At 42.0% G+C, this 10255-nt stretch overlaps 1 protein-coding gene across 11 annotated transcripts in view, besides 3 other annotated features; it reads right to left on the reverse strand.

Moving 5' to 3' along the window:
• Positions 1-9793, reverse strand: part of BTBD9 (BTB domain containing 9) — a 471479-nt gene extending 461686 nt beyond the window's left edge. For all 11 annotated transcript variants that reach the window (NM_001099272.2, XM_047418145.1, XM_047418146.1 and 8 more), the window contains exon 1: positions 9664-9793. The gene's annotated coding sequence lies outside the window, so the exon portion shown is untranslated. The remainder of the gene's footprint in view (positions 1-9663) is intronic.
• Positions 9456-9655: a silencer, noted in NCBI's record as "silent region_17161". NCBI's record gives its function as "represses an Ori minimal core promoter by ATAC-STARR-seq in GM12878 lymphoblastoid cells {active_cell/tissue: GM12878}" and the evidence as "EXISTENCE:reporter gene assay evidence [ECO:0000049][PMID:35858748]".
• Positions 9755-10255: an enhancer, noted in NCBI's record as "H3K27ac hESC enhancer chr6:38607667-38608167 (GRCh37/hg19 assembly coordinates)". NCBI's record gives its function as "activates a minimal SCP1, AML or CMV promoter by ChIP-STARR-seq in primed H9 embryonic stem cells {active_cell/tissue: H9 hESC(primed)}" and the evidence as "EXISTENCE:reporter gene assay evidence [ECO:0000049][PMID:30033119]".
• Positions 10056-10135: an enhancer, noted in NCBI's record as "active region_24482". NCBI's record gives its function as "activates an Ori minimal core promoter by ATAC-STARR-seq in GM12878 lymphoblastoid cells {active_cell/tissue: GM12878}" and the evidence as "EXISTENCE:reporter gene assay evidence [ECO:0000049][PMID:35858748]".

Below are 10255 nucleotides of genomic sequence, written 5' to 3' on the forward strand. Positions count from 1 at the left end.
GAGGTTGCAGTGAGCCGAGATGGTGCCACCGCACTCCTGGGCAACAAGAGTGAAATTCCGTCTCAAAAAAAAAAAAAAAAAGGAGACCAAAAGAAAAAAAGAAAAACTGAATGCACCACATGGCTGGTTTTTTGTTTTGTTTCACTTTGTTCTTGTGTGTTGGATTTTTATTGTTTTTGTTGCTCTAAAGGGTATTCATTGATAAGTCAATTGGGATAATTGATGAAATATGAATAAAGCCTATAGGTTAGCTACAACGATAGTATTTAATGATTGTAAAACAGTTAATAAGAGAATATCCTTGTTTTTAGGAAATGCACATTGAAGGATTGGGTATTATATCTGCAACTTTCTCTTCAACAGTTCAGTGGGGCAAAAGGAGAGAGAGAAGGATAAAACAAATGTGGTAAAATGTTAACATTTGGGAGATGTGGTGAAGGTTATAAAAGAATTCTTTGTACTATTCCAGCAATTTTCCTGTATGTCTAAAATTAGATTAAAATTAAAAACTAGAATAAAAGAGTTAAGCAGGTAATTTATACTTGTTAGGGGTCAGGATAGTGAAAGTTAATATCTGACATGAAGTGCCAAAATATAAACCTAACTGCAATATGTTCTGAAAAGGTTGCCTAAGCCAATTATGTCCTACATACACCTTCTAAAGAATGAGACTTGAAATAAAATGGATCTACTTAGGACCTTACTTGAGGATAAAAGTTAGTAAAGTACCCAAAGGACTGGATTATAAATTAGCAGACTCATCTAAGCCATGCAGCCCAATGTCACTGTACCATATGGAAATTGAAACACGTGCCTTCAGACAGTGGTTGAGGAAGCATTTTTCTTCTAAAAGTTTGGAAAGTGAATTACCTTACCTAGAAATGTTTGGTTCTATTTTAGATTAATTTAAAACCATTAAATATGAATACAATTGTATAAGAATAAATGTATAGAATAGAATAGGATAAAAATGAAAACATTCTGGCTGCATTAGTACTAAAGCTAATGTGATGGATATAAAACTTCAAGGAATCCACAACAAATCTGTAATTTGTGAAAACTTTCCTTAAAATTTAAAAACCACTACCTTTTCTTCAGAGCATTTCCAGAAAATACCATGAATATACAAGTCAGAAAAATTATTGCATGTGCTAAAACAGAGACAATCAACATCAACTGAAGAAATGGCTTCACGGGAAAAAGGATTGATGGTTGTTTGGAAATATGCCCACAAATTATTTGACTCTCCCCTCAAAAAAGGTGGAACCTAACTGCCTTCCTCCCTGAGTATGGGCTAGACTTAGTGCCACGTTATAACAAATCAAATATAGAAGGAGTAACAGTGTTATATTCAAAACAGGACATAAAAGGCACATGGTTTCCTCCTTGCTCTCTCTTGCATCACTTGCTCTGGATGAAGCTAGCTGACATGTTATAAGGATACTCATGCAACCCTATGAAATTTCTGAGGTCCCCTACCAACAGCCAGCAAGGAACTGAGGCCTCCTGTCAACAGCCATGTGAGTGTACCATCTCGGAAGCAGATCCTCCAGCCCCAGCCCCAGCCCCAGTCAAGCCTTCAGATGACTGCTATAGCAATGGTCAAAAGCTTGATTGCAACTCATCAGTGACTCAGCCAGAACTACCCAGCTACGCTGGTTCTGAATTCCTGACCCACAGAAATCATAAGATTAAAAAATGTTTGTTGTTGGCTGGGCACGGTGGCTCACGCCTGTAATCCCAGCACTTTGGGAGGCTAAGGCGGGCAGATCATCTGAGGTCTGGAGTTTGAGACCAGCCTGACCTACATGGAGAAACCCCGTCTCTACTAAAAATACAAAATTAGCCTGGCGTGGTGGCGCATGCCTGTAATCCCAGCTACTCCAGAGGCTGAGGCAGGAGAATGGCTTGAACCCAGGGGGCGGAGGTTGCTGTGAGCCGAGATCGTGCCACTGCACTCCAGCCTGGGCAACAAGAGCAAAACTCCATCTCAAAAAAAAAAGTTTGTTGTCTTAAGCAGCTAAATTTTGGGATAATTTGTTACACAGCAATAGATAACATAGAATTTGATTTAACAGTTATTCCATTTGCAGAATTATAAATTTATAGAAATATTTCTTGTAAAATTAACTGAAATTAACTATCATTTACAAAGATAGTTACAGTCTATATTTCCAGGAATGTATAAAATAGGACCAAAGAGTGACTTAGTCAAACTGCAAGGAATGAAAACCTTGCAAGTCAGAATAACTACACTGAACCATAAATAGAATGTATTAATTTTGTAAATAGGTTTAAAAATAAACACCTAAGTGGAGGAAATAAGTAATGTGCAGAGAAGGGAGATTAGCTGGGAAATCTCAGGTAAACATTGTTTGGGGTGAAGTTTTAAGGGATTTTTTAAAAGAGTTGACTTTACTAAAATGTAAACTTGAAAAATGTAAACTTGAACTGTACTTGAAAAAGTACAGTTCCTCCTCTAGAAAACTTGGCACCTATACATAAAGAAGTGGGGCTGGGTGCAGTGACTCACACCTGTAATCCCAGTACTCTGGGAGGCCAAAGTTGGAGGATCCCTTGAGCCCAGGAGTTCAAGAACAGCCTAGGCAAACAGTGAGACCCTGTCTACATAGAAACAAAAATAAATTAGCCAGGCATGGTGGCATGCACCTGTCATCCCAGCTACTCAGAAGCCTGAGAAGGGAGAATTGCTTGAGCCCAGGAGGTCGAGGTTATAGTGAGCTAGGATCACACCACTATACTCTAGTCTGGGCAAGAGAGCCAGACCCTGTCTCTATTTGAAAAAAATAAAAATAAATAAAAAGTGGGAAATCTGAATATTCATGTAAGATCTCCTGTGAGTCAACTAAAAAATAACTGGGGTCAAATACAGCACGTCTTCATAGGAGAATCAGCACTGGGGCCATTAATTATCCAGCCCCCATTCCCTTCCATCCCTAACTATATTATCAAATTGTCTTCAAACATTTAGGCAGTTACTAAAATTCTAACTTCCTCCAGTAACTTTTCCTAAAACAGTAGAAATGAGACTGCATTTCTACATCAAGATATTAACATGCTGAAGACCCATGGTGACATAAGGAATTGGCATGAAGTAAAAAGAACACAGGCTGCAGAGTCCACACCTGGGTCTGTACTGGAGCCCAGTCCCACTTCTCACTGGCCACAAGCTACAGACAAACAGTTCCCATTCTGGAACTCAGTTACCTTATTAGTAAAATGGAGATAATGTCAAATTGACAAGGTTGTCATTACAAGGATGAAACAGTATATAGAAAGGGCCTTGCATAATGTAGCCATTAGATAAATAGCACCTTGTTTTTAATTACTCTTTTGCTTATATGCATTATGCATATACTTCCCAAATCAAGAAAATAGGGACACAGACTGCCAGAATATTTTTGTGTCTCATATTCAGATGCAAAGGCAGCCCAGGAGGTTAATGTGGACTTATGACATGTTATAATTTCTGAAACATTACAATAGCTTATGAGTTGCTGTTAAAACTGAACACTTAGCTGCTTAAGAAGCCAGAGTACCTAGTCTGTAATCAATATTTATACAGTACTTATCGTATTCTTTTTATTACTCCAAATATGTTCTTTCTCCTCTATCAAATTACAAATTTGATTGCTAAAAAAAAAATATACATCTCTATACGCGTCATGGCCCCATCCCTATACTCGTCATGGCCCCTTGAATACATAAGGCTGAATGAATTTAACTTCAAGTCCTCAATGTCTCTTCCTTCAATATAATCTTAAGATTATAAAAGTCAGGCTCCTTCACCCTGACAATATGCATACATGTGTGCACATTCCTTTCCCCAAGTAAAACCAGAATTAGGTGCACAAGGCAATTATTGTTTTCTCTATGCCCAGCACTTCACACGATTTCTGGCACACTATAAATGCTTAATGAATGTTAGCTGGGAGATAAATGAGAGAGAACAAGCACCTAGGCAGAATAGTGAGTAGCTAAGCTGTCAGTCATGAAGCTCCAATTTAACTCCAATTTCACTCCCTTTACAAATGTGTTTATAATTTTGCACAGCTACTGTTTTATTTCCTTATATAGTGGAACTCCCTTATAACTTCCTCTCACTAGGACTAACATGTGTGCTATATGCCAAAAGTCTTCAGTATATGAAACATGTAAAACCCAAAGAATATTGGCAAGCAAAGAATATGTCCTTAGATTCAGATTCTCTACATCCATGTTTCTGTGATTATACCTCTTCCTGTTTCTTTCCTGTGGGTTTTGCTCATTTCACCCATCTTATCTGTAAACTTCCCAGGAACAGGGAATATATTATTTGCTTCCCTTTTAAGACTCAATGTGCCTAATACAGGACACAGACTGGAATCCTGGCACATATTATTAAAAATTATTTTGCAAACTGGATTGTTCCTTTTTTTTAAAAAAAAAGGGGGGGGAGAGGGCATCTAACACAAAGTCAAATGCACATAGCTACACACCAGATATATGAAAGAAATTTTCTGTAGTTATTTTGTGTGTGTGTAAAATTAGAAATCATATCCTCCCCATGACTCATCAGAGATAAAAGAGGATAAATGAAATCTGTGTGTGAGGTACATGCCATCATGCACCAGGACAGTATTAAGCAGCTTCAAAGGTTATTGCTATGTATCAGGCATTATAATAGATTCTGGAGAAAACAAAAATAAGAATGAGATAAGCTCTACGAAATTGGAAATCAGACTGGTAGACCTAGAGAGTCTGGAGGCTGTTAAAATTCTTATTCTTCTCTAAACTATCTCCTGGTTCTCCATACACTTCAACCACTTTGTTAGTGCTGGTTCCTTTTCTTTCATCTATCCTCTAACAGCACCATCAGCATCACCTGGGAACTTGTTCAAAAATGCAATTTTTCAAGCCCCAGTCCACACCTACTTAATCAGAAACTATGGGGGTGGGACCCAGAAATCTGTGCTTTACCAAAGCCTCCAGCTATTTCTTTTTTTTTTTCTTTTTTGAGATGGAGTCTCGCTCTGTCACCTAGGCCGGAGTGCAGTGGCCTAATCTCGGCTCACTGCAATGTCCACCTCCTGGGTTCAAGCGATTCTCTTGCCTTAACCTCCTGAGTAGCTGGGATTACAGGTGTGCACCACCCCACCCAGCTAATTTTTATATTTTTAGTAGAGATAGGGTTTCACCATGTTGGCCAGGCTAGTCTCAAACTCCTGACCTCAAGTGATCCACCCACCTCAGCCTCCCAAAGTGCTGGAGTTACAGGCATGAGCCACCACACCTGGCCACCTCCAGGTCTACCCAATGCATTTTCAAATTTTAGAACTACTATGGTTTGCATGTGTCCTCCATGTGTTAGAGGAGACATGATTCCCCAATGCAACAGCAGTGAGTGGTGGGATCTTTAGTGATTAGGCCATGAAGACTCTTTTCTCATGAATGAATTAATGCCAGTAGAGTGGGAATAGGTTGACATGATCAGTTCAGCCCCCTTCCCTCTCTCTCTCACCCATGTGATGCCTTCTGCCATGTTATGACACAGCAAGAAGGCCCTCACCAGATACTGGCACATTGATCTGGGACTTCCTAGCCTCCAGAACTATCAGGAAATAAATTTCTGTTCTTTATAAATTAACCAGACTGTTCTTTATAAATTAAACTTAGATCAGTTCTTGTCTTAGTTTGTTTTGTGCTGCCATTATGAAACATAAAATATGAAATAGCAGCACAAAACAAAGACAAGAACTGATCCAAGTTTAAATACTGATTTAAACGTCCAAAAGTTCCATTCACCATCTTTTCCAGTTCTCACTCTCCATTTTTCTGGCATTGGGGCCTCTCCTACTATCTCTACATCTATAACTACTACTAACAATAACAGCAACAGCTGCCATTTATTATATTAAGCATCTATAAGACAGGCATTGTGTTAATCACTGTGCACATAGTACCTTTGTGTTAATCACTGTGCACATGTATAATCTCCACAATTCTTTAATTCAGATAAGAAGCCTAGGCTTAGAGAAGTTAAATAACTTGCCAAAGGTCAGCCAACCAATAAACAGCATAACAGAGATTTGACCTGCCATCTTCCTAACTCCAAAGTCCACTAAGTTAACTACTATACTAACATGCCTCCTAGAAGGTTGCTACTCCCACAGCCTCAGCGGACATCTATATTACAATTGTCCCTAACCATCTCATAAACTCTGAAGTAGCATTTCCAGTTACTTAGTGGATCTCTCTTTTTAAACTCCCCACAGAAACCTCAGAATTAACACTGCCATTATTTCTTCTCTCCACTTCAAACCTGTTCCTCTTCCTGTGATTTCTAACTTAATGTCATCATAAGCAAACAGTTGCTCAAACTAGACATATTATCTTTGACTTCTCACTCTCCCTTACCTCTAGCTGGTCATAAATGTAGAGATTTTAACATCTAAAAATGTCTCCAAAATCTATCCATTCCCATTGTCCAACATTTCTCACCTACACTCTAGTCTCCCTGCCTCTCTACTCTAATGCAATCTGCACACGAACTGTCAACTTTCTGATTATTCTACCTTCTATGGCTCTCCACTGCCAATGGATGGGAGGAGTCTAGACTTTTTAGGATGAAGTGGAAGACCCCCTCATAATTTGGCTCCAAAAACAGCTTCCTGCCTCATCACTTCCCCCATGCAATAAGAAGTGATTAGGCCCTCATGAATGGATGAATGCCATTATAGCAGGAATGGGTTCATTATCTCAGGAATGGGTTCTTGAGATGAGTTCAGCCCTCTCCCCTCTCTTGCCCACAAGAAACAACTCAAGATATTTCCAAAAGCGCTATTTAATTTTAATATTCAGCAACTTTGCTTATGCTGGCCCCTGGAATGCTCTCTTCCACCTCTACATGTGGCGAAATTTTATTTAACCCTCAGAGCTAAGCTCCATCCCCTTCTTCTCAACATGTTCCCTATCAGTTTTTTCTCCAGCCAAAGCACTCTACTCCCCCAGCACATTATTCATTCCAAAAGTGATTAATTTGTCACAGCACATAATGGTTAGTGGTTTATCTCTTCTGATGAACACTTAGTATGCTGAGCATATACTGTGTCTTAACTTCTTTGTCTTCCCAGCACCCAACGAAGTGTCTCGCCATAGCCAGCACCCAGTAAGTATCTGCTGAGTTGTTAAATAATGCAACATTTGCAGTTGTAACTTTACACATCTTGGTTAGCAATTCAACTTCAGGTTTACATACCACTCAAAAGAATTTTCACATAACAGAAGATGTTATAAATAAAGACCAAGGGTTCAATATTCAGCAGCAGGGTCTTTAATTATTCTGAAATCTCTTTGGTCAGTATTTTTAAGCATCGTTCATCAGAAAGACTCCTTTCCCAACTAACATTTGTATATTTTACAGGATCAGCAGTAAAGACAAACCTCAGAGAGATAATCCCAAGCAAAACTATGTCACTGAGTGTGACTGGATGACTATTGGTACATCATTTCAGTAAATTTCCAATACAATGGCCCAAGTACATCAGGTAGATTTTAGATAATGAGACATGCACCACTGACTACCTAAAATACATGCACATTAGTGAGGCATCGATTCCAATTAGTAATTGAAATCAAAAGTATATTAACAACCTGATATTGGTTCAAGCGTAATATCCTTTACTTTCAAGTAAGGATAACACTTATTCTTGTCAAAGACTGTACTCTGATTAATACAACCTCTATCCCACCTTACAAGAAGGCTGTATCTTGTTAACAGTGGGATGCTGATAAGCCCGCCTTAATCCTTAACACTTTGCCTTCCCAACCTGCTAAGCCATCTCTCTCCAGTATTCCCCTATAAGAGACGTTCCGCTCCAGTTACCAGACATAAAAGTCGTCTTGGTATATCCTCCAACAACCAAATTCACATTATTATTTTCTCAGCTCCTGGTTTATTTCCTAACAAATTTTAACTTCTTTCAGAGACCAAGTCAAATCTTGCCTCTTTCAAAGAGTTCCCTAACTCAGCCTACACATCCTATCTTTTCTGATTTTCTACCACATTTATAGTCCTCAAACAGCACTGGTTACCTGCTACTTAACTTGGTTTTATAATTATTTTATACATCTCCTAGCTAGACTACTGCTCTCAAAGGGAAAAAAAAGACAGGTCTTCTATGTCATTTTTCACTCCATAATCCTCCTCCCACACCTATCATGATACTGGGCAGAGGGAGGCACATGTATTAAGTACTTGATGGACTGAACTCAATGCTTTCTATACATAGATACACCACTTGAGCATAGTGTGCTATATAACAAATATCCATTGCATGCCTACTCTGTGGCAAGCACATTTTTCCTATGTGTTAGACATAGGGCAAGGAGGAAAACACAGATGACTCCTGTCCTAAAAGCTATTACAGTGGAGGGAGGAAGACACTTTGAATTCCGAGTAATCTAATAAGTGTTACAAAGCAAGGTTATTACTGGTTCCAAGAGGTAACATACTTTACAGATTCTCAGTTATGAAACAGAATCATAGAATTTTAGACCTAAATGAGAACCTTGAACTTATTTTCCTCTATCCTCTTACACAAAACATTAGATTTCAGTACAGCCTATCTTTTCACTGGTTCTACAAATTGCCTTAATCAACAGAAAGAAAAGACTGGCTTCTTCCCTGTCTCCAATATTCCTCGCTCCCAAGTATGGTAACCACAACCCCTATACATCTACCCATGATAGAGTCCAGAGCACTGAGAAGACAGCACAGGGCTGAGGATGAGCTACACCTTTACATGCTGGGTTCTCCCATCATCAACACTTTCCGCCCACACAGTGAACAGAATCCGTATTTTCTGCCCAGAAAATAGCAGCCTGTACTGCCTTTAGGAAAAACAAACAAAACATGCTTCCATACTTCCTTGGATCTACTAATGACAAAAGCACAACACGGTTCTGGGAAATATAGCAAGATAACTAAGTCTATGAGGAAGTAAGAAATGAGGATGCCTATCAGCACCTTGGTCTCAAAATCTGTAACAACAATGTACTAAAACGCCAAGGAAACACATGCACATACATGTGAAGTTAGAAACTCTAGGCAACAGGTTGGCTGCCCCGGATCTATACTGACAGGTCGCCCTCCCAAGGTCGTGGGTGTGTCTGATGCCGCACGCAGGCACTGATTCACAACTCTCTCCATAACAACCAGCTCCTACTCAGAGGCTGGCCAGGGCAGGGGAGATGAGGGCCCCAGCAGTCCCAAACTTTCCAAACCCCCACCCCGGGGTCCCGGGTTTCGCCTCCTCAGTCCCAGGCAACGTCGTCTCAGACAGGATACGAGACTGCTAGGGAACCTGGGCTGCCCCTGATTCGAACTCCTCTCTTTGGGAGGCTGGTAGAGCCACCCCGAATCCCCGAAACGTCTACTTCCCACTACACCTTCGTGGACTGCGAACGGGACGGCTACCGCTCTCCCAGAGCACCCGGGCCCAAGAAATGACCCTCGTCAGGCCCCGTCCCAGCTCCTCCCCCGCCCCCGGAAAAAGCGGCGGAGGGGCGGGGGGCGGTGCGCGCGGATACGGCGGGGGCGCGCGTCCCCGCGCCGCAGGTGCGGCCAGGCCCCACCTCCCCTGCAAGGACCCGGCTACTCACCCCAGCGATGCTCCTCTGAGACCAAGCTGCGACACAGACGCCTCTTCCGCCCGCTCCGCACCCCTCTCTGCGCCACCGCCCCCTTGGCCGCTTCCGTGGCCGCCGTCCTCGCCGCCGCCCCGGCTGCTGCGGCGCGCGTCCGCTTTCACGCACTCCGCCGTGGCCGCGCACGCGCCACTGCGCGCTGGCGTCACTTAGCAACCGATCGACAGCGGGCTGCTGGGTCCGGCGATGCAGGCCCAGAAAGTCGCCTAAGGCAGCTTCCGCGGCTTTTTCGCATCGGCCCGACCCTCTGCCCCTCCAGAACAGGGGGCCCCAGGGTGTGGCTGCCCTGCCGGCACCTGGCTCCGGGTAAGTCGAGTCACCACACGTCACTGTATGGCGTCACCGGCGCACGTCACTACGGATGAGAAGGTCCTGGGCGCCTGTGGAGTGACCTCGTCCAGACCGCCGCAGACCCGATCGGCAAGTTCTTGGAGGTGCAGGAAGGTTCTCCAAGGAGTAGGACCAGAAAGGGATGAGAGCGCGAGCGCGGTTAATGTCGAGGCTGCTAAGTGATGCTCGTTAATTTCGCAGCAGGGTGTGACTGGCC

The sequence above is a fragment of the Homo sapiens genome, chromosome 6 (assembly GCF_000001405.40).
Source record: "Homo sapiens chromosome 6, GRCh38.p14 Primary Assembly".
In the NCBI taxonomy this organism is placed as follows: domain Eukaryota; kingdom Metazoa; phylum Chordata; class Mammalia; order Primates; family Hominidae; genus Homo; species Homo sapiens.